The sequence below is a fragment of the Homo sapiens genome, chromosome 4, assembly GCF_000001405.40.
Source record: "Homo sapiens chromosome 4, GRCh38.p14 Primary Assembly".
Taxonomy (NCBI): domain Eukaryota; kingdom Metazoa; phylum Chordata; class Mammalia; order Primates; family Hominidae; genus Homo; species Homo sapiens.
In genome coordinates, this window is record NC_000004.12 from 78,921,382 (window position 1) to 78,946,436 (window position 25,055).

General features: G+C 39.3%; 1 protein-coding gene across 16 annotated transcripts in view, besides 2 other annotated features; it reads right to left on the minus strand.

Annotated features, from left to right (window-relative positions):
• PAQR3 (progestin and adipoQ receptor family member 3) overlaps positions 1-18,057 on the minus strand; it is a 52,363-nt gene extending 34,306 nt beyond the window's left edge. For 7 of the 16 annotated variants that reach the window (XR_938694.4, XR_007096371.1, XR_007096372.1 and 4 more), the window contains exons 1-5: positions 17,659-18,057; positions 13,740-13,902; positions 8,789-8,944; positions 5,140-5,337; positions 2,476-2,566 (exon numbers count right to left, since the gene is read on the minus strand). Coding sequence is in view for 7 of the 16 variants with exons in the window: in NM_001040202.2 (NP_001035292.1) it covers positions 2,476-2,566; positions 5,140-5,337; positions 8,789-8,944; positions 13,740-13,902; positions 17,659-17,843 (793 nt within the window). In the remaining 9 variants the exon portion in view is untranslated. Of the gene's footprint in view, positions 1-759; positions 1,114-1,447; positions 1,603-2,475; positions 2,567-5,139; positions 5,338-8,788; positions 8,945-11,204; positions 11,279-13,739; positions 13,903-17,658 lie in introns of all 16 variants that reach the window. The other 9 variants (XM_047449645.1, XM_024453910.2, NR_146462.2 and 6 more) reach the window with 8 other exon arrangements.
• Positions 17,587-17,656: a silencer, noted in NCBI's record as "silent region_15514". NCBI's record gives its function as "represses an Ori minimal core promoter by ATAC-STARR-seq in GM12878 lymphoblastoid cells {active_cell/tissue: GM12878}" and the evidence as "EXISTENCE:reporter gene assay evidence [ECO:0000049][PMID:35858748]".
• Positions 17,747-18,236: a silencer, noted in NCBI's record as "silent region_15515". NCBI's record gives its function as "represses an Ori minimal core promoter by ATAC-STARR-seq in GM12878 lymphoblastoid cells {active_cell/tissue: GM12878}" and the evidence as "EXISTENCE:reporter gene assay evidence [ECO:0000049][PMID:35858748]".

A 25,055-nucleotide genomic window follows, 5' to 3' on the forward strand; every position in this document is an offset into this window, starting at 1 on the left:
CTCATGGTGCTTCTATGGTCATATAATGTAAATATTCTCTAACCTCTCTTTTTTCTTACCAATCAGTACAGTACATAGATTTTAAAGTGTATATCAATAAGATTCTTAGCCTTTTTTGTACCATGGACGCCTCTGGCAGTCTAGTGAAGCCTACAGACCCATTTTTTTAAAAAACAAAACACAGAGGATTACAACAAATATTGATTATCTAATACAACTATCAGAGATCCACTCAATTCTATCCATGGACACCTTGGGGACCCTTGGACCCATCAAATGCCACTGTGTTGTGTATACATTTTTAAACATTCAACCTGAGCTGAATGAAAGCTTTTAGTTTAAAATTTATTTTATTTCCCAGTGGCCAGGTCATACATGAGGACTTGCCAGAGATAGTTTCTAAGGCATTTATATATGAACATTTGAGACTATCACTTTTCACTGGAAAGACTTAATTTTTTAGTTTCCATATCTCCACTGCTCTCATGTACCCAAACTCAATATGCTCTGCTACATAGGGCACATTTTATGTCAAGTGTGTCTTGGGGAAGGTTAAGTTACAATAAGTTTGATTGTTTATATATGTCCTATATTAAACAATTGGTAACTCCTGATCTGAATATTTTAAGGCCTAAAACCCACTATGGTCATAATCACATAGAGAATTTTCATGGTTTAGTGTTCTACTTGTCTTGCTATAAAGAAAATACAGAATTTTAAAAAGAATTATTAATAAAGTGATACAAAAATATATTTTACCAGAATTGTTTTCTGTAATTCTGGCCCTGCCTGGAAGATGGGTGGTCTTCAATTCAGTGGCATGTCCTAGATCTGTTCCCAAATCCTCATGTTTACAACGCAGGTTTTCCCTTGTATTTCCATTCTTATTTAAAGCTCAGTGGTGAAAAACCAAGTACACAAAGGAATGCCTGAGGATCTGTGGGATGGATTGTTTAGGCCAGGGTTTCTCACCCTTTCTTCTTTCCCAACACACGTGACGAGTGGTACAATCCCTTCTCTGATTCACCGTGGAAGTGATTCTTAACCCAGGAAGAAGAGGGGATAAATTTGCAGTTTAGATTTAAACTGCTCCCTGACTCATAGCTCTCCAAACTGAAAAAAAACATCAGTTTTATGTACTCTAAATGTTATTTCTGACCCATGCCAAAACTTACCTGGATTTGCATCACTTTGTCTCTTACTAAACCACATATTTCACTTATAAGACCAGGGCTGGGGGACATAGTAATAATTGCTGTCATTTATTCAGTCCCTACTAATTGCTAGAAACTTGGTTACATGATATGTGCATTTTCTCATCTAACCCTCATTAAACTGTGTTACATGCATTTTCTCATCTAATCCTTACCCTAACCCTGGGGGGAAAAAAAAGTATTTCCATGTTTTAGATAGGAAAACTGGAGCTGAGAGCACTTAAGTAACTTACTTAGCCCACGTAACTAGAAAGTGGTTGATGTGGGTCTTGAACCCAAGCAGTCTGACTCCAGAGCTAAAGTTCTCAAACAAGCAAATACAGGTTTTGGAGACTGTTGTTCACTCCACCCAGTGTCCTCTTAGTTATTTTCCATCTGAAAATATTTTCTTTGGAATGAAGAACAAAAAAATCTATTGGCTTGTGTATCTTGGAAACACAAAGACTCTTAACTTTCACTATTTTCTTCCTAGTGCTGGGTGCCAGGAAGCCTAAAGCCAGCTTTGTCACCATTATCTATTTTATAGACCCTTTTGATGTACATATTGTGAAGTGATCCTACATCTCACTTCTTTTCACTTTTTCTGGAAACATAAAGACTCTTAACTTTCACTATTTTCTTCCTAGTGCTGGGTGCCAGGAAGCCTAAAGCCAGCTTTGTCACCTTTATCTTTTTTATAGACCCCTTCGATGTACATATTGTGAAGTGATCCTACACCTCACTTCTTTTCACTATCTTTTTTTTTTATTATTATACTTTAAGTTCTAGGGTACATGTACACAACGTGCAGGTTTGTTACATATGTATACAAGTGACATGTTGGTGTGCTGCACCCATTAACTCGTCATTTACATTTTCTTACTGTCCTTTGCTTATTTCTTGCTTTATATATCTCTGCATATATAAATTACTTTTAAAGAACCAGCTGGCATATAGAGAAGTAAATGGTAGTTGACGGTGTTCTACTTTTTAAAAGAAATAGTGCTTGGGAGTCAGAAGACTCAAAGTCTAATGTCAGCTTTGTCACTAGTTCATAACCATAAAACAGTGACAACACCACCTACTGGACTCAACTCACATGATCAGGATGAAAGGAAAAGTGAAAGCCCTTTGAAAGTTTTAGGTAACATTTGGAAAGAGAGGAATCATTTCCATAATCAATAATATTAAAAAATGAAACTAAGTTTTGATGCTCTGATGCATATACCTTGGGCATATATTTAGACTAACAATACAAAACTGCTATAAAAGAGATACCTACCTGGAAAGTACCGCTCTGGGACTTTGGAAATGTAGAATAGGAAAGCAAGAAGAGCAATCATATACATCACAATTACACGGGGTGCAAAGTCCTGAAAAGCAGAACATGTTTTTTTACAGATCTTCCTACTGTTACTGAACTCTAAATTTATTATGAATCTAATAGTGGGATTTAAGATTGTTAAATCTGAACTGTTTTGCAGACTGTCTCCAATAATAGAAACCTTGTCCTCACATGCAGGAAGCAGCCTGCAAGAATGGAGCACAGAGAATGCTCTAACGGTCAGGCTCCTAAAGGGGCTAGAGCTTTAACATGCTGAAGTTCCTAAGGGCATCCAACTCCATCTACAATGTAGGTATATGTGTAGAATGCATATGGAAATGGAGTTGGCAGGTAAATAAGCAAAGACACTGAAGACCAGGAACTTATGGCTGGAAAAGACCTAAGGGGTCTCCCCAGACAGAAATCTGTTCCAATATCCCAGATAAATGGTCCTCTTGAATACTACTATATGAAGCACTTTGTCTCACTGCTGACACAGTATTGAGAAGACTTTCCTGGCCCTGAGAAAATCCAGCAAGCTATCCTTATACATATTGTTCCTAATACTGGTTATAAACCTAATTTAGCAAGAACTCATTTAAGAAATAAGGACAGGCTTGGTGCATGGCTCATGCCTGTAATCCTACCACTTTGGGAGGCTTTGGCAGAAGGATCGCTTGATGACAGGAGTTCAAAACTAGCCTGAGCAACACAGTAAGACCCCTCTCTCTACAATTATTATTATTTTTTAATTAGCTGAAGACAGGAGTTCAAAACTAGCCTGGGTAACATAGTAAGACACCTCTCTCTACAGTTGTTTTTTTTTTTTTTAATTAGCTGGGCATGGTGGTGCACACCTATAGTCCTAACTACTTAGGAGGCTGAGGTGGGACGACTGCTTGAGCCGAGGAGTTTGAAGGCAATAGAGAGAGACTCTGTTTCAAAGAAATAAAATGTAAAGACAAATTTCTCCTTCCTCTTCAAATATGAGAATCATCATAGCCCTCCCTAACTCCTATATTTTTTAGATTAATCAAACTCAGATTTCTCAAACATTCTAGAACACAACTTGATCTTGCCTCCCAAGATTAACCCTTCCAGAACTTTTTAACTTTGTTAAAGTGCCTGTCTTTCCATCTTTTTAAAATAGAGCTTATCAAAGAATTTCTGTGAAAGTTTCCCTTTGCTTCCTCACCGGAATGATCTGTGATCACATTAGGATTCCATCTTTGAAAACTACTATCTAAGCCATCTTTCCATTTTAAGATTTCTGAATACAAAAAAAAAATCCCTTTTTCTTAATTTCTCTAAAATTCACTGACTTAATGGGTCTTATTCTTTTTGTCATTATAAGCTCAAAAGGAATGTGTTTATCAAATCTAGAAATTTTGGTCACTTCTGTATCAACAACCAATTATTCCAGCTGGAATTTATCTACAGTGGCAGTTCCCCATTTCATTTTCTTATTATAAAGGAATCAAAATTGTCAGAAAGATGTTTTCACAGATAGGAGGATTCCTGATGTCCCTCATCATTACTGTCTCACCTTTCTCCCAATATCCTAATTTATGAAGACATCATCACCCTTGTCCTCACATTGGCCAAGTAGCCAGATTATATCACTCAATTCACTCTGTCACAGAACTTCCTTTCTTTTCAGCTGTACACCCAACTGTTTTCTACTATGCTGCTGCCAACTTCATGCAAATAAATGTAGGCCCACTAATGGTCCCTCCTCTTCTAATAAAATCTGATTCTTTTGAATGAAACCCCCCTTTAAAGTCACACATTCTAGACAAAGGTACCATTGCAATGAGTATATGTGATTTCTGTCAGATTTCTTGGCCTATTTACTTGTATTAAAAATTCTCAAGTTTACTCTCTAGTGCATATGTACAGCATTTTTGTAATGATCTCTAAAAATGTAAGTCTTATTTCTAATCCTTTTCTCAAGAATCCTGAGTTCTCACTGAGACTCTTCCTAATGCACATCAACTGTTCCCCCATAATACCTGATTCTAACAAATAGCTCTTCTTTTATTTCTCAATATATTCTCCTTGGTGGATTGAACATGCTTCCCTGGCTCCAGCTACCAATACAATGATGATTTCCAAATCTTTATTGCCAGTCTCAAACTCTGGCTGAAATCCCAGATCCTATCTCTACCTTTACATCCAATGGGTACCCCACACTCATCGGGTCCAACAAAAAAAATCCTTCCCAACCTCCCTTCACCCCCTAAAAGATCAACTGCTCCTATTTCTATACTTGCGTTATCATTGGCATTATCACTGATCCCGCAGACAAAGCTAGAAACTTTGGAGTCCTCCTCCACAAATAAGGACTTGGGTATTTATATACTAAGGGTAATAGAGAATAATAATGTATTTTTTTTTACAGAAAGACAACTCAGAGAAAATCAGTATTCAGATTTTACCTCGACTTCTGCAAGGTATGCTTATTTATATGGCTGTGAAAATTACGGCATCAACATGCAATTACAAATATGTTCTCAAATGACAAACATCTACCCACTTGGCCTGATTATACTACTTTACCCAAAAGGAATAAAATTGAAAGGAAAAAAAAAAAGAGAAAAATATTAACTACACTCAACCTACCTGTACAATAGGAGCACCAATTCCTCCATTGAGCCAAACCCAGTGAAGAGTAGGAATCACTCCATATCCCGAAACAGAACAAAAGATGATAGAACGGAGCCTTTGCCATTGCTGCGTGAGGTAATTGGGATGAATCTGCGCAAAGAACACTGCCAGGATCATAGCAAGCACTGTGATCAAGTACACCTGACGCCAGTACTAGAATGAAAGGAAATCACATTTTAATTCTGTTATTAACAATAAAGGAACTGAAAAAGTAATTTTGGCTTTTACACTACAAATTCCAAAGTCTATTTACTTGGTATTTGCATTTCAAAATAGGATTATCTCCCTTCATTAAAAAATATGTTCCATACAACTTTTAGGTTTGTCAGAATGACAAACCAAATTCTAAAGTGAGCTGGTAAAATACTACATTTATTCATACAAAAGCATTTTCTGATTACCTATTATCTGCCAGGCACAGTTCAAGTCCTATAAAAGCAAAGATGACTATGACATGGACTCTCCCAGCAGTCAGCTCACAGACTATGGGAGGGGCAGAATGTGAACAAAAGATTATAATCTTATGGTAGATACCGTAATTGAGGAACAGAACATTGTAGAACCACAGAAGAGGGAACAATTAACTTTACTTGGGGTAGCTAAAAAATGCTTCACAGAGATGACATCTAAGATTTTGTGGGAAGACAGAGCTCTCAAGGAAAGAGAACAGCAAATGCAGCAGGAAGTTTTGAGAAAAAAGGCTAAAAAGGCATACTGTTAGGCTAAATGTTTTGAACTTTACCACACTGGCACTGGAGGAATAACAGAATTCTTTAAGAATAGGATGACATGGCTGTCTTTCAAACAGACTTATTAGAAAGACAACTCTGACATCAGTGCAGAAAATAGGTGACAGGAAACCAGCTAGAAAGATACTAGTTTAGTTTATTCAAAGAGAGAGTGGGGGCTTGGACTCCTGTTGAATAAAGTAGATGTGAGCACCAGATTTAGGAGGCATTTTTGAAATAAGCTTAAGTCTTAATGGCTGACTGGCTGTGTGAGAGGGCAGTAGAGGAAAGCCTGACTGTTTTTGGCCTGAAAGGCCACATAAATGGCTTCTATTAATGAAGCAAATGAACAAAGATGTTCCAGTTTTGCTGTGTGTGTGATGGGGGAAGAGAACAGGGGCATGAAAGAACACACACTTCGCTTAGGTTTGAAGGGCTTATGGGATATGCAGGTATTTAAATAAGCAGTTAGCTGGTCTTAAAGTCAAAAGTCACGTAAGACAAGAGTTCTTAATCTGGGCTCCAAGGACTTCTTTGGGGCTATTAACTTTCTGAAATCAAATGTCAGACTGTTTAGGGTGTGCGCAAAAGTGCATTCTACTGGATCTAGGGTCCACAGTTTCCAATCTCATTCTGAAAGCAGCTGTGTTCCTTAAAAGGTAAAACGAGTCTTTTATAGGTCTACAGCAACTGAGTGTTTGAAAATGATTAGAAACCAGATGGAAGAAAGCAATTTTTCAACGATCATGGACTGACTCTATCAGCTTCAGCAGTTCCCTTATCTTTTTAATCTATCTTGGACTTTTAGTTTTTCTGGTAAGAGATTTACAAAAAGTATCTCACTTTGACATTTAGCAAGAGGTAAACAGAAAACAGTTTCAGAGAAATACAGAATAAGATAAGCAAAACAATTCAAATATTACATGGCTGTACTCACAAGCACCTGGTTATTAGTATGTTCTAATTTTTTTTAAAGATATAAACAGTTTCATGCAAAATGAGTAAGTTATGAAAGCTGGGCAGAAATAAATAGCATACTGCTAAAATCAAGTCAATTTACAACAAGGTTACCTGCATATATTTTTAATTATGTGCTTATGTTCCAAAGTGATTAGGCCTAAAAAGCAAAAAGCAAATGGCTCGCGTTTAAGTGGCTAAAATTAATAATGTTCTTACGTATTCAAATCAAATTTATGATTTTTCTCTTCACTAATTTTCATACCAGATATGTTGACAGTATTCTCTGTTATTGTGTAGAGACAAAGGTCCTACTGAAAAATCCCAAGCAATGTGAGAAATTCTACACTGCGGCCGATCTTCCCAATAAGTGAAGTCTGGGGACTGTGCCTTAGAGCAGTGGTCTCCAGCGTTTCTGGCACCAGGGACTGGTTTTGTGGAAGACAATTTTTCCATGGATCATGGTGCGGGGAGGCAGGCAGAGATGGTTTCGGGATAATTCAAGTGCATTACATTTATTGTGCACTTTATTTCTATTATTATTACATTGTAATATATAATAATTATACAACTCACCATAATGTAGAATCACTGGGAGCCCTGGGCTTGTTTTCCTGCAACTAGACGGTCCCCCTCTGGGGGTGATGGGAGACAGTGACAGATCATCAAGCATTACATTGCACAACCTAAATCCTTTGCATGTGCAGTTCACAATAGGGTTCGCGCTGCTGTGAGAATCTAACGCTGCTGCTGATCTGACAGGAGGCAGAGCTCAGGTGGTAACGCGAGCCATGGGGAGTGGCTGTAAATACGTATGAAACTTCCCTGGCTCGCTGGCCCACTGCTCACCTCCTGCTGCATGGCCTGGTTCCTAACAGGCCACGGACAGCTTCTGGGGGTTGGTGACCCCTTCCTTAGAGCACCTGTTACATGGTGGGCCTTGGGCAGGACAGGCTCTATTCTTTGTAACTAGGACTAGAAATAACTAGTAGGTATACTGCTCCTGAGGGAGAAGCTCAGTCTTGGTTCTGAAAGGGAGGTAACTAAAAGGGCAAAAGAAAAAACAAGGGCATGGTAGAAAAACAGGAAGAAAACAAAGTAGGGTCGAAGGGGACTTTCTGAAAGGGAGAACTTGAGATGTACTGAAACCATGGGAACATTGAATTTGTCTTCTTGGCTGGAACATGAGGTGATGAGTTAAGGGTTCTACTCCGTAAGGTTTGGTTGGCCAATATTTTTAGGTCAGGTGCTGTATTATCTGATTACAGTGTTGCAAATGCTGCTTTGCACAAGGCAAAAACTGACTTTTGTGTGAACTTAGTGACAGAAAGCAGAGTTGATCCAGAATTCAGAAAAGACACATCTCACATTTGTTAAAGACACTGACTCCTATCTGGTCTGTCTTACAAGCCTACCCCCAAACATAAGACTGAAGACAGGAAAACATATTTTACAGAAGAATATGGGCTAATAAATTCAGATATATTTTCCTGTATTTTTTTTCACTGAGAGGAGAAAAAAGAAATGGTAAGCAGTAACCAACTTCATAATTTTAACAAGTGTTAATTTTAACTTCAATTCTATAAACACACAAATAAAAGATATATAATGTGCATATCTGAGGAACCACGCAGCCATATAGATTTAGTGAAAACATTAATAATTTAATGTCTACATTAAGTTTCAGAAAATAACTGTATATATATTTTCCAATAGAAAATTAGTAAAGTAAGTATGGAACTGATAACAGATGTTAGAGATGACAGGGCCATTCTGAAAAATAAGTTTATGCTTATACGAGACTCTTCTATTTAGTCTATAAGTTAATTATGTACTTATTCAGAAATTCAAAAGAACCAAGGCAAGAAAACCCAAGACCAATATGAAAGGTCGAATGTAAAATGTTTTCATCTACTTACGTTATTACAATAAAATGCGTAAAATACTCCTGAGACATAGCAGCCCAGTATTCCAATAGAAATTCCTGCATAATCTAATGCCATCCATCTTCGACATGTTTTTTCTGACCGATGGCAGGAAAAAAGATGATAGCCCACAGAGCAAAGCATACAGACCTGTGAAAAATAAAAACAAATTAACAAAGTGACTAAAGAAACTAAAGCAACTTATGCATGATATTCAGGGAAGTAGTTAAGAGGCTAGGCTTTCAATTCAAACATTTATGGGCTTGGATTCTAGCTCTGTGCCTTACATGGCTACTGTAGAGCTCACTCTACATGTAGAGCCATGTAGAGCCATGAGGGAAAGCCTCAGTTCCCTCATGGGTAAAATGTAGATAATAATAATGAAGGAGAAAATTTAAAATAACTATATTACAAAATGAAAATTATAAATAAATAGCACAGTAATGGGAAAGTTATACAATGCAAATGTTTTAAAACTATCATCTGAGGCTTGTTTTGATCCATGAATTAATTTGTTTTTAAAGAGTATTTACTATAGAAGCAATATATAGCCTTAAAAAAATCAAAGAACATAAATATAAGCCCCTCTTACTCAATCTATTCCCCAGAGGTGGCCAGTGATAACATTTTTTATGTGTCTTTCCAGATATTTTCAATACATATGTCAAACACCTGTGATATATTAGTCTATACACATGCACACATTATATATATATATATATATATATATACACACACATTTTAAAATTAAATGAAATCACACTATGCATTCTGTTCCACAATTGGCTTTTTTTCAGTTAAGAATGTTCATGTCTGTATGAGATTCATTGTATAGAGTTTACTTTTAATTTCTAAGGTAAACACAGTTTTATTGCCTTCAAGAAAAAACAGGCTGGTGTAGTAGTGGCTCATGCCTGTAATCCCAGCACTTTGGGAGGCCATGGTGGGAGGATCTCTTGAGCGCAGGAGTTCGAGACCAGCCTGGGCAACATAGGGAGACCTCATTTCTTAAAAAAAAAAAAAAAAAAAAAAAAAAATTGGGCATGGCGGCATGCACCTGTGGTCCCAGCTACTTGGGAGGCTAAGGCAGGAGGATTACTTGAGCTTGGGAGATCGAGGCTGCAGTGAGCCGTGACTGCCCCACTATACCCCAGCCTGGGTGACAGAGCTGTGACTGCCCCACTATACTCCAGCCTAGGTGACAGAGTGAGATCCTGTCTCAAAAAATAATAATAATAATTTAAAAAACAGTGATGACTTGCTAACTTTATATGGTTGCCAAACTGAGAGTAAAGCTAATCTGATTCAATCAGCTGTTCTGATAATTGATAAGGTTCTATGGCAGAATGCCTTTCAGCTATTAAGTACCTGCTGTATGTCATACATTGGAGGTGATACAGAATCACTGAACAAACAGTACAGTAACAAATCCTACTGTACTTCAGTGCACAGCATAATTGGAAAAGGTGGGAGGATATTGACTCTGTGGAGGTACATGTGCATTTGGAGGGTGGGACTGGTGGGAAGAAAAGTATCAGAGAAGGGCTGTTCACCTGAGGCAGATTTTAAAAGTTGGGCTGGCATTCACCAAGGACATAAAAAAAGGTGTGCACATATTTATGGCTGGGGGCAGGGATTAAGGAAAAGCATCATATTCTTTATAATATGATTATGACATTTCCTATACATTAATGGGTTTTAACTTCAATATTATGGGTATGATAAGATACTCCTGAAGATTTTAAGTGCCCCCCAACAGAGGTGTGGACTAGAAGGGCTGAAACAGGAGGTTACAGAAATAGCCCTGGAGAGCAAACACTGAGACAGTGACAGTGGGGTGGAGGCAATGGGACAAATAAACAGTATAAAGTAGTTACAAATGATAAACATTTTGTAAGCTATTGCTAAGGCAGTAACATGGTCATCTAGCTATTAATATTTTATATTCTGGTCATTAAACAAATCTAGTTACTATAGACTCAATATCAGTATTCAATAACAATGTACTTTGCCACAACTTCATTGCTTCATCAATTGTCTAAAATCCTTAATAGTCTATAGCTTTTTGGTTACTAAGCAACCAATCAGTAACTAATTCTAAGTTAGTTATTTAAACGTAACTCAAAGAAGTTTGGTTATTTGTTTTCTCAGATTATCCTTGAGATTAAGCACCATAAATCAGGAGAACATAAAAGTGTATATTTCTCATTGATGGGGAAAGATCCCATTGCCACAATGTTGAATGACACAAGGGCAGGTCGCAAAATAGCAAGCAGAGATGACTGTAGCTTGGAAGTAGGTAGACAGGTAAGGGAGCAGGCAGGTAGGCAGGTGCAAGGTAGCTATGCATACACAAACATACGCATTTGGGTTAAACTCATTGTTTAACGCAAATGTCCAATGTGGTTACCTCTGAAAAGTGGAATTTCAGGTGACGTTTTCTTCCACAAACTTCTGTTTGCCTAAATTTCTACATGATTATATCTTGTAGTAATAATTAGAAACAAACATAAAGCTCATTTCATTGTGAAAAAGAAAATAAAAAGAGGAAAAAAAGAAACTATGGTATCCAAGGGAAAAGTAAAATAGCATTAACAGAAAACCCCAGATTTTAAAGTTAACCCATACCTAGTATGCCCTGTTTAAGAAGGAATATGTTATTCCTAGAGTTTAAAAATGGACTGAAAGATAATCTGGCAAATTGGGTATGTTTCAGTTATAATGGAAAGTTTCCTTCTATGGAGTACCTCACTCCATCAAGGTAGACAGATAATTACAGTGTTACATTCACATCGAAACTCCTTGGCATGATAACAAAATACCTCATGATTTGATCCCTGCCAATCTCTTCAGCCTTATCTTTCTCCATTCTCCTAGGTTTCAACCACAAAAACTAGTACCTGCAAGTCCAGAAAGTGCTAAGAAAGTGTGTCTTGCTTCTTTTTTCCTGCTTAAATGCCCTGCCTCACTGTCTCTTCTGCACACCTACGAGTGGCTTGACCTTTATACCAGGTTGGTTCTGTTCAGCACTGTTTTACCGATGCCTTGTATAGTGTCTGGATGTATATAGGACACATTCAACAAATATTTGTTAACTGAATGTAAATGGATCAAATCAAGGCATTATTGTATTCTAACATTCTTCTCCAAAATACAAATACCCTGGGAAGGTTCAAAGCCCCTCAATTACATTCTATTGTTCAGAATGTACTCTATTTATCTGGTTGCGAGGAAAGCACTAAAGCATACAGAAGCATAGGAGTGAGAAAAATGTTATGTCTTTTAATATTAAATGTAAATCAATATTAATAAATATATCTATGGTTTACTATACTGTCCACTGACCCTAAGAATCTGGAAAACTCAAGTGAACAAGTTATAATTTGATAAGAAGTGGTCTTTTCAAGTAGGGAAGATGTGCTCATCTGTCTTTAGTAAGTTGTACAGCATGTATTGTAACAATGATCATTGCACTAGCAAGTAGGAGAACAGGATTTTACTGCCCTGCTGAATAATCCTGGGCAAGTCACTGTAATATTTTGGGTCTGTTTCTTTATTGGAAATTGTTGTAATTATTTAATCCTTTTTAGTTTTGCAATGTATTGTTTTCTTAGGTCAATACTGAAATTGATACATATTCTCTGAACTAACATCAGCTGTGGCAGGTGGTGAAGGCATAAAGAATAGGCCTAGGGATGGAGGAAAAGAGCAGGGATTCTCAAAGTAGATAATATGCATATAACTAACAAGAATAGAAGCCAGTTTTTACTTAATGATTATTAATAGCATGTTAATCTATACTAAGATGCACCTAAAAATTTAAAAAGAAATTGATTCATTTCCATTATAAAATTGGTTATGGATTTCAAGGGATATTTTGGCTGTAATCAGGGCAAAAATTAAACCTCAGAAAGAGTTTATTTTTAAAGAATATTTGAAGGAAAAATAATTTTCTAATAACAAAAATAGATTATGCTTTCCCTCAAAGAAAATTAAAATATTATTCCAAAAATTGGAATTAATAAAAAAGGGGAAGAGAGATTTGTTTTGCTGTGTTTCTTGGCCATTGAAGTCCAAAGTTTAAACTTGAGTAAAATGATGACTCTCTGAAATAAAATGATACATGATGAAAGCGACATTTGTGCAGCTGAGTTATGAGATTCACCTCTCAAACTCAGCAGCAACAGGCTAACTGCAGGGAATAGCTACTCTGTGTCTGTCATGAGAAAGGGGGATAATAAGTTTTTCATTTTTGTGTTTTTTTATGTTCTCTGAAGCAGAAAAAGTTGTTTTAAATGTCAACAGAACTACAGTCCACATTTGTTTTCTGATTCAAAATTATCTGTTTGAAATCTAATAAATGTTAACTTTTAAAGACATTTTTACAGATTCTTGAAAAATGCCAGTGCTATGGAACTAACAAATACAGGAGGTAGAGAGGAAAAGAAACAACGTATTTGAAGCCAGGCCAGTGGGTTCAAAATAAATTAACATTAAAGCAACAGAGTAAAAAATCAATACCAGCAAAACAGGACAGTAAAATATAGTATGGAAATAACAAATACAAAAATCACAAACACAAACAGGAGGAAAGAGATGAGAAATCTTCCCAAACAAGTTTTAAGTAGGCACTAGTGTTGTACTTCAGCCAGATAATAGAATGCAATCAAAGATTCCTATTTTTTTAATTAATCTTAAAGCAGAGGTGCCCCAAAAGAAGAGGAAAGAAACAAATTCTTCTCAATCTTTGTAATTTAATGGATTTCAAACATACTCTCATAAGAACACATCGTTTGGTGTTTATGTTATGAAAATCAATAAGCTGACCAACATGCCATTCCGGGGCTCTTTAAAGCAAGTGGTAGGTCTGAGGTAAGGTCACCTGACCAAGACTGCCTGTCAAAAAGTTCTCTTTACCAACAGCAGTATTTGTGAAATGACTTACCTGGAAGCAGAAAAGACAAATAGAACAAATTACAAAATCTTCTCTGGACGCACTTGCTGAAGGTAACACAGATGTCATGTCATATATTCCCAGGGTGAAGAAGAGAAAGAAACCCAGCAAATGACTCCAGATGTTTACTGTCTCATTAGATAAAATAAACAAACTGGAAAATAAACACACATGCAACTGAGATTCACATTGGCCAACTTACTGTCACGTTCAAAGGTTAGGGACAATTTTGAGGAGTTACCTAATACTTGCTCCTTTAAGCTCTTACCCCACCTGTACCTTTCTAAATTTGATATATTATCTAATTAAATTATTCTAAGTTTTTCTACATCGCCACCAAGTCTGGGACCACAGTTTTTTGGGTGCTCACCTCTATTATCATACTTACCATTTCCTTCTCTGTATTAAGAGATTTACATACAAATTCCATCTCATCTTCCAGCCTATCAATTCCCTAATGGTCAGTACCATTCATCTTTATGACACTACTGTTCACAATGCCTTGCTCAGATTAGTCTATAGACTAAAGGTCTCCAGAAATGAACGTGCAGAGGAAATCTGGATGTTAACTAGCACACTCTATCAATAATACGTATCTGAAAACCTGCTCAGTGCAAGGTTAGGCATCATCTTAAAATACTTTCCTAGAGCTCATTAAATACAAATGCAAAATTAAATGGATTTAAGAGAAGCAAAATAAATATATATTGATCCATTGGAAAGGTTCTTTAAGATAGGCATGCCAGAACAACTTTGCCGTGGATGTTTTAAAACTAGTCTAGTTTCCAGGTGGCATAAGTTTCTCCTTTTCACAAACAACTGGACTTAACTTTTAATATGGGTACTACGTGCTCTCTTTCAAAATGCCCTGGGCTAACTGGACTTGGCAGCACAGGTTGCTAGAGCGTGTACCACCCTGAGTCAAGAGGCTCACTGTCCCCACCCTACACAAGTCACTTAACCTCTCCCGGCTTCAGTTTCTTCATCTATACAGTAATGGAGCTTCATTAGATGCTGCTGCAACTTTCTTCTAGCTCCTTTCTTACTTTTGTGAAATGGTTCTCCAGATGTAGATAGGACTCATCTGATTATTTACTGAAAGGTGACATCATGACTAAAGATTAAAATACTCTTGCATTTGTCTGCAAAATCTCGTATTTTTGCTTAAATTTAGGTTTTTGGTCTTCACTGATTCAGAAATCCTTGACATAATGACATTGACATATAACTCTAAATTTGTAGCAGTCACTGTGGTTCTCAGGTTCTCATTTTTACAAGAAATGGAATTTCCTATTTGCTTTGCTTCTCAACTTCATTTCTTGTAACAATGAAAGTGAGAACCATAGTGACTGCTACAAATTTAGTTATACGTCAACGCTTACTAGTAAGGATTTCTGAATCAGTGAAGGCCAAATACATGATGTATATAGCAAGGTGTCAAAACTATCAAATGATCATCAAAAATAAAGTGAATCTTGGATCATGAATTTCAGGCTTTATCATGTACAAGCATCAAGTGTAAAGACTACTTATAACTGGAGGAAGGGATGCACGAATGTGCTTGAAACATCTAACTACAGGACTGTTTTGACAATCAGTACTATGCTCTGCTTATTACTTCAGAACTTTTCTTTTTGTGAAATCCAGTATAACCTGACTAACTGAACTGAGAGGCACCACCTCTCCATGTTCCCTGCAGCTAACAGAGGACTGGCAAAACTGCTATGACATACAAAACCTCCTCAGATTACATCCAAAATCTGTCCCCGTCACTCCTGAAAGCCAAAAGGAGAGAGGGCAAAGGCTAAACTTGGAAAAGATAAGGCTGGTGGGAAGGCAAGAACATCTCCAATAAAGAATCTACTCTTACTGTACGAAAAGTTAGGTGTCTCCTGCACAGTAGACACACCTGACAGCAGTATCTTAAGCATACCCTGAGAATGACCCTATATGAAAAACACACTTGAATGTGTGTTTACAATTCCAAGCACGGCCAACCCTTAGACTGATTCCTTATCTATGAGGAACATCTGAGCCCCTGTCCCATCTCATGGAATGCTGACTGTACATGGGATGGAGGCCTTTTGTTTTGCAAATGAAGATTACCAGATGGAGGTTGTTAGGGGGAAGGGTGCTAAGTAAAAATGCTATTTAAACTGCATGCTTTCTGCAGGCGGCAGAGGTTCTCCCGTTCAGGCCACTGTCACTGGACCTCTCTGTAAATTACCCTAGTAAAACCCTATGTCTTGTTTACTGGCTTTGGGTCTCTTCTTCCGTCTTTCGAACCTGGTGCCATCCTTATTGAAGTTAACAGGAGTCCAGCACCACATCTTCGTATTCTGTTCAGTTTTAAAATCAAATAATCATCTTCATTATCATCATCTGTTCAGCTTCACAACCACTGGTGATGACAACAATCACCATTTATTGACGGCTTATTAGGTTCCAGGCCATGTATAGCATTTCACACACAGAATCTTACTGAATCTTTTTTTACCTCTGGAAGCAGATACTGTGATTACCCTCATTTTTATATGTGGGTATAATGAGGCTCAGTGAGGTTACATTTTGCTCCAGGTCTCAGAGCTGTTAAGTGGCAGATTTGGATACTAAAGTCTTTGACTCAATAGCTCAAGAGCTAATGCTCTATACTTAATTTTCCACTCCATGAGATTTGGACCCTAACATCAGAACGCAGAAGACCACTGCTAGTTGAGTAGAAAATATTTAAGGCAATTCACTGCTTGCCCTATTCTTGTGGAACTCCAGATCCACAGCAGAACTCAGCTGTGTAATTTACTCATGCACAGGAGGCACTGGGGAGGAAAACGGTAATTACGCTTCAAGTTGTGAATCCTAAGGGCCATCCATTCAAGCCAAGTAGGGATGGGCAGTGATGTCACCTTGTGACCATGAGTCACAGAAACACTTTCATGGCAGGACAAAAGGAAAGAAGGGCAGGAAAAGACAATGCTGGAAAAATCAAGAATCAGACATGTGGTTGCCGCTTGAGCAATTCAACAGCCCACATTCTGGCACTAGGGTTTGCCACTACAGCGACCTGGAGCTAACCAACACCTGTATCTTAATTCTCCTGAAGCAGAGGTCCTGTATTTTAGTACAGGTAGTAAGTTTGGACAGTTACTCCAAGAACTAGAATAGTTATTTTTCAGTTTTGTTTTTTTAAAACACGGATTTTCAAGGGACTGTGGTTTTAAAGGTTTAAAATGATAAAGAAATTTCTTTCTTAGAGATGCTTCTGTGGTGCTCTAGTGGAGACTGGGTGCCCGTTATGAGCTCTCTTTACCACAGTACTTTTCCTACACAGCATTTTTTCCACAATGGTTATTATGTAATTGTGTAATTATCTATTTAATGTCTGTTACCCAGGCTACACCTTAGTAGCTTCATGAAAACAAGGGCCATGTTTGCTTTTTTTTCTGCATGGGCTCCATAAGTATTTGCCAAATGAATAAATCTCGGGTGTATATGTTAACTTGTTTCCTATTATACAGGCACTTATCTGGCCCAAAGCTACTGAATTCCCACAGTGTTGCTCTAAAAAGAAAGGTATACACCGGGCAAATATGGCTCAGCCCCATTTCAATATATATCTCAATGAGCCGAACAAACCGAATAAAGGATGTAAAAGCCCTTTGTAAAGAGCAAAGCGTCATAGGAGAGCTGTAATTATGATCACTGTTACTATCATGATTATTCCGTGGACCAAGTACCCCGGCCAGGTAAGGGGAGATAACGGGGGAGGAGAGGCGGCAAAAAGGGATGAAAAGGATGGGGCGGCGAGGAAATGATGGGCAAGCAGAAAGGCGGGGAAAGCAGAAGGGGGACCAGACAAAAAGGGTGTAGGTGAGAGAAGGGGGCACTCCAGGCGGAGGCAGCCAGACCGTACCTTTTGATACACAGCCTGGACGGCAGGTAGGCCCGGTAGCCGTCGGTGATGTACGGGTTGTCCTTGAGGGACCCGGGGATCTGCTCGTAGGTGTACAGGCGGATGCCACGGGGCACCAGGACCGGCCAGTACTGGTAGCTGCCCAGCTCGATGTAATGCGCGCTCTTCAGCAGCTTCTGATGCATCGTTCCCGGCCGCCGCCGCTCCCCGGCTCGGGAGCTCCCCCAGGTCCCGCCTCCCCGGGGAGGGGGCTTCGCCGCTGGCGCCCCCGCCCCGGAGCCCGCGGACGCTGCGCGAGGTCCTACCGCGCTGCCGCTGCTGCCCAGGGCCCGGCTCTGCGCTCACACCGGCCACTGCCGCCAGCGCCGCGGCGGACCCGGCAGCGTCGCAGCCTCCTCTGACGTCAGCGCGCCGCGGCGGCCCCGCCCCTCAGCCCTAGCTGGGAGGGGCAGGGTGCTGGGGCGCGCCCGGGTGTGCTCGAGCGTGCGCTGGCGGCGGCCCGGGCTCCCGGGCGTCTCTCACGCTGTGTTTTGGCGGCGCCTGGGGTCTTCGTTTGCATATGAGAAGAGCCGAAAGCACAGAGCTACAGGCGAATACAAGTGGATTTTTTTTCTTTTTCTGTTTTTTTATTAGAAGTAATAGTTGCTGCATTTTGAAAAATCAAGAGGAAAAGAGTTAACAGGAAGAAAAGTTCGAGGTAATTACCGTTTAGTTTATGCTTGGAATTACACACACTTAGTGTCAGAAGGGACTTTGAGGATTTCTAAGCTGAAGTCAGCTCTTAGCACGATAATTGGAAAGAGAGGAAACCTGATGCACGTGGAACATACACCAGCATCGAGCACATCCTGAGCCATAAAGGAAAGCCCCCGTGCATTCAAAACTCCGACCCCTTTCAGCGTTATGTTCTCTGATCACAGTAGAATTAAACTAGAGTAACAAGAAAACTAAAAGTCTCCACGTCTGGAATAGGAGCAATACACCAAATATTTCAAGGGCTGATGAAGAAATCACAATGGAAATGAGAATATCTACTTAACTGAATAATATAGAACATATTAAAAAATCCTGTGGAGTGCGGCTATAGTAGCGTTTACAGGAAGTGTTGCAGCTTTGTTTCTGGCTATTTACTGTAATGCAAGTGTTTACTTATAATGGCAACAGGGCAAAACATCAGTTTGAGTACCGTATGTGTATAATAGAACGCTTAGTCCATTGTTTGGCATTGTAAGGGCAAGAAAAATATCTTGTCCTCACTTATCACAAGGTTCACAGCTGACATTCCTATGAAAAAAATTAAGAGAAGCCAGGCGCAGGTGGCTCATGCCTGTAATCCCAACATTTTGGAAGGCCGAGGCAGGCGGATTGCTTATGCCCAGGAGTTGGAGACCAGCCTGGGTAACATAGTGAGACGCTGTCGCTACAAAAAAAACCAACCAAACAAACAAAAAACAAAAATTAGTCGGGTGTGGTGATGGGCGCCTGTAGTCCCAAACTATTCTGGGCTGAAGTGAGAGGGTTGCTTGAGCCTGGGAGGTCGAGGCTGCAGTGAGCCATGTTTGTGCCACTGCACTCCAGTCTGGGTGACAAAGCGAGACTTTGTCTCAAAAAATAAATAATAAAAATTAACAAGAAAAGGGATAATAAATTCATTTAACACAGTTTTATGTGACAGAGGAGTCTTCAGAAATGAAGACACAAAGACCCAGGAAAAAATGGGCTTTTTATGCTAAGTCTGATGAAAGGAGTGGATAGTTGTGGAGAAACATGATTGAAAGGGGGCATCATCTAATGATAATAAACTGAGGGGGGATCCTAGCTAGCAAGGCCAGTTCATTCAAATTCTTGGCCTCAGAGTATGGGGCAGGAACTCTCTAGAATGAGGGTTTTATGACCTAGTTTCAGGTGAGGTAAGTCAGAACTCCTTTGTGACCACGGAAAGGCAGGGACAGTCAGAAAGTAACCTTACTAGATTTTTTGTTGTTGTTGTTGTTGGGGGAAGACAGAGTCTCACTCTGAAGCCCAGGCTGGAGTGCAGTGGCACAATCTCGGGTCACGCAATCTCCACCTCCCGGGTACAAGCAATTCTCCTGCCTCATCCTCCCGAGTAGCTGGGACTACAGGCACCCACCACCATGCCCGGCTAATTTTTGTACTTTTCGTAGAGATGGGGTTTCACCATGTTGGACAGGCTGCCCTTGAACTCCTGACCTCAAACAATATGCCTGCCTCAGCCTCCCAAAGTGCTGAGATTACAGGCGTGAGCCACCACGCCCGGCCCCTTACTAGGTTTTATGGCTTCCTTTAGGGAGAGAAATTCTAGGTTGTAAGACCCACTTGGGAAGAACAGGAAAAGGAAGAAAGGAGGACGGAAAGAAGTTCAGAGAGACCTTAGTTTTGAGGCCTTCCCAGTCTCCTTTAAAGTACTCAGCATGTCAAAGCACCACACTTTGGGGTGGGTGTGGTGTTCTGAACCCTGACAACATACAATAATCACTCATAATACCTATTATTATTATGCTAGTAATATTGGTTGATTTTTGAGAAGCAGTATGGCTTAGTGATTAAGATATTGGACTTTGAAGCCATTTACTTAAGTTCGAATTTGTGTTCAATCATTTACTAACTATTAATACATGTCCTAGTGCAGGTAACTTAACCTCTCTGAGCCTCAGTTTTCTTATTGGTAGAATAAGACTAATAACAGTACTTTGTGTTGTTGAGGATTAAATGACTAAATCCATGTAACAGTCTTAGAAAAGTACCAGACATACTGTTAGCACTCAACAAATGTAAGCTATATAGAGAGTTCAAGGAAAAATAATCAATAAAACTGGAAAGGTAAATTGAAATATATCCTAAGTGGACTTAAATGTCCTATGAAGTAAGTGAGACTTATTTTTTAAGTCATGGAGCTAAAAATAATGTTTGAGAACTTACTACATGCTCAGTACATTGTCTCTGCTGAAGGTTACTGTGTATAGAAATTCTCATTTCCTAGTGTAGGACGTTCATGCCTGAGAATGCCTACCTGCCACTCCTACAGACCTCTTATAGGAGGTTCCTTCTGCACGTATTTCTTGCTGGTACCATATGATACTACCTTGAGTCTATTGCTGAACCAAAAGTAGATCAGTATTCCATGACATTCGATGGCACAAATGTCCATTCAAGAACAATGGTAATTAGTTTGATCAATCAATTACTTCCTTAGGAATTTGACCTGGAGATGTGGGAAGAGAATCCGTAGCCTGTTATTTGAAACAAAGTAGAAAGATGCCCAGAGATTATCAGACACAGAGAAAGTAGCTGAGTTATGATAATGATGGGACACTAGAGTAAAGAACTAAAAATGGCACTTTGGGAGGCCGAGGCAGGCGGATCACGAGGTCAGGAGATTGAGACCATCCTGGGTAACACCGTGAAACCCTGTCTCTACTAAAAATACAAAAAATTAGCCGGGTGTGGTAGCGGGTGCCTGTAGTCCCAGCTACATGGAAGGCTGAGGCAGGAGAATAGCATGTATCCGAGAGGTGGAGCTGGCAGTGAGCCGAGATTGCGCCACTGCACTCCAGCCTGGGTGACAGAGCGAGACTCCGTCTCAAAAAAAAAAAAAAAAAACCCTAAAAATGGGAACTGCTTTGGTCTTCAGCAGTGTACCCATGAAACCTTTTGCAAAATGACTTCTGGATTTATTTCAACAATTTATGGCCTTTTTCAGTTCTCCCTAGTCCATTTACATGACTTAACTTTCCAGTTATGCACTCTAACAACAAGCACTAAAAAAACACTTATAAAATTCACAAACAAATATGAAAAGGTAGATATAGCAACAATCCATGCCTGAGTCCTAGAGTGAGAAAGAGATCTATAGGTAAAAAAACAAAATAATAGAAATGGAAAGAGCTCTTCTATTCAAATCTGTAAGACAATGGAAGCAGGAGCAACACTGCTTTGGGACACCTCTAACAGAGGGTAACACAAAGGTGAGAGGGCGCATTTCCCCACAGATAACAATGACATTGTGGCACTTTGAGGGCTCTGGCTGTTTAGTCATGGTGCTTAACAGAGATCTTCAGCAGCATGTCTGGTGGAAGAATAAAACTTGTTGATGCACTTGGTGAGGCACCAGCATCTGTGATAGGTGGAGATCGACAGCATCCAGCAGGAGACTTTGGTGCCTCTTGAAGTGGCAGGTTGGGGAACTGAACTGTCCAGTCAAAGATAATGGGAAAATGGTAGCACCCTATCATGAACAACTGCGAGACAAATCCTGGATTTTAGAGATGCTTGAGGTGGTGTGGATGGGAATGGGATGCAGTTCTCAAGGAGCTGAAGTCCTGAATTTCCAAGTGGGAGCAGGAGCCTGGGGACAGGAGACATGGGGGCTGAATGGGGCCTTTGGGGTAAGACAGATCGCCTCCCCTCTCCTCCCCTCCCCTCCTTCCCTCCTTCCCTTCCTTCCTTCCTTCCTTGCCCTTTCTGCATTTGTTACAATTCAAACAGTGTTGGAGTGAGATTTGCAGGTATTGAGATGTCCACAACACAGAACTTTACATTTACTGAATTCTGACAATGTGCCACACATTTTCCTATATGCTAACAGAGATGAATAAGACAAATTTTAGACAACAACCTTTGCAGATTTCAGCAGCACTAACATTTTGATCACTCTACCATTGAACTCTCTTTTCTGGACTTTTGGGACCACCCTCATCTGGACTCTTTTCCTTATCTTTCTGGCTTGTCTATAAAGTCCCAAGGGACTTTATAGCCACTGTTTCTCTGTCTGACCCTTCCGAATGTTTTCAGGATTCCTTCTTCAGTGTTGTAAATTCTATTTTTTCCCTTTATATTTCCATGGCTTCAGTTACTGTCTTTTTCAGGTTGGATCTCCTTTCTATGCATCTGGATTTGCATGTGGAGCCGGACATAGAAACCTGAAATATTACAAATGAACTGTTATATTTTCTCCTAAATCTATTTACATCCCTAAATCTCTATTTACTCAGCCTCTTAAGCCAAAAGTCTTGCAGTCATCTCTTCCCTTGGCACAATTTTATTAGTAACCTCCTTTGCTTCCTTCCCCATCACTGCAACCAGTTCCTTGTCAATGATTTTTGACTCCCCTGCCTAATTAAGCTTGTCTGAAAAAACAAAGAAGCAGTTCATCAATTTAACTATGTCCTCTTTAATTCTACAACCATATTGCTAAAGAAAATGACAGGATGGCATGGATTGGTATTTCTACAAGTTGTTTACAATCTCTACAGAACCTTCAACATCATTTGGATATTTTAAATGTTTACTTGACATTATATGTGCCCATCTCCCCTCTTCCTTAGCAAATCAGCTGTTTCCTATCTCACAGAGAAAATAGAGGTCATAGAGTAGGAACTCTCTCAGCTTTCTACTGCTAGCCTTCCACCTGTAAGTTCACTCACAATTAAAGCCCATTCTTTGTTTCCTTTCCTCTGTCTCAATAGAAATGACTACTTTAACACCTCCTACTTAAGGTCAACCCTGCTGCCTATTTTCTGAATCATGCTCCCCTTCGTTTCCTAATGGACCTTGCTCTGTCAATTATCCTTCTCTCAGATATGTCTCCAACCTTTCCTTCTCTATTTTTTTCCCCTTTGGTTCTTAAACATGTTGCAAACAAGCATTTTTGAGTAAACAGACTATAGAATGAGAGAAAATATTTTGAGTAAACAGACTATAGAATGAGAGAAACAGACTATAGAATGAGAGAAAATATAGAATGAGAGAAAAAAAACCTCTGTAATTTTTTTTAACATTTCAACTTTTATTATAGGTGAAAGGGTACCTGTGAAGGTTTCTTACATGGGTAAACTGCATGACACTGAGGCTTCAGGCCATCCAGGCAATAAGCATAGAACCCAACAGGTGGTTCTTTGGCCCATGCCCCCCTCTCTCCCTCCTCGATCTAGTGATCCCCAGTGTCTCTTTTTCCCATTTTTACAATCACGTGGATTCAATGTTGAGCTCCCACTTGTGAGAACACGTGGTATTTGGTTTTCTGTTCTTGTGTTAGGTCAGGTCGCTTAGGATAATGATCTCCAGCTCCATCCATGTTCCTGCAAAGCGCTGAAAGAACGATTTTGTTCTTTTTTTTGGCTACTCAGTATTCTGTGGTGTATATGTACCACATTTTCTTTAGTCCATTGTTGATGGGTATTTAGGCTGATTTCATGTCCTTGCTATTGTGAATAGTGCTGCAATGAACATACAGGTGCATGTGTCTTTATGACGGGATGAGTTATTTTCCTTTGAGTATATACCCAGTAGTGGGATTGCTGGGTCAGATGGTAGTTCTATTTTAGGTTTCTTGAGAAATCTCCAAACCACTTTCCACAGTGGCTGAACTAGTTTACATTCCCATCAACAATATATAAGCATTCCCATTTCTCCACAGTCTCACTGTATTAGTCTGTTTTCACACTGCTATAAAGATACTACCTGAGACTGGGTAATTTATAAAGGAAAGAGGTTTAGTTGACTCACAGTTCCACATGGCTGGGAAGGCCTCGGGAAATTTACAATCATGGCAGAAGGCAAAGGAAAAGCAAGCACTTTCTTACATGGCAGTAGGAGAGAAAGAGCAGGCAGGGGAAACTGCCACTTTTAAGCTATCAGATCTTCTGAGAACTCCCTTCCTATCATGAGAACAGCATGGGAGAACTGCTTCCATGATCCAGTCACCTCCCACAGGGTCCTTCCCTTGACATGAGGAGATTACAGTTTGAGATGAGATTTGGGTGGTGACACAGAGCCAAACCATATCACTCACCCTCTGTTGCTTTTTGACTTTTAAATAATCGCCACCATTCTGACTGGTATGAGATGATATCTCATTGTGGTTTTGATTTGCATTTCTCTGATGAGTACTGATGTTGAGCATTTTTTCATATTTTTTTTGGCCACTTGTGTGTCGTCTTTTGAGAAATGTCTGTTCATGTCCTTTGCCCATTTTTTAATTGGATTGTTTGGTTTTTGCTTGTTTATTTTTTTAAAGTTCCTTGTAGATTCTAGATATTAGTTCTTAGTCAGATACATAGTTTGCAAATATTTTCTTCCATTCTGTAGTCTGTTTATCTGTTGGTAATTCATTTTGCCGTGCAGAAGTTCTCTAATTAAGTCCCACTTGTCAGTTTTTGTTTTTGTCACAATTAACATAAATTCTTTGCCAAAGCCTATGTTGAGAAGGGTATTTCCTAGGTCTTTTTCCAGGCTTTTTGTAGTTTGAGGTCATACATTTAAATCTTTAATCTATCTCGAGACAATTTTCATATACGGTGAAAGGTAGGGGTCCAGTTTTATTCTTCTGCATATGGCTAGCCGCTTATCCCAGCACAATTCCCCATTGCTTGTTTTTG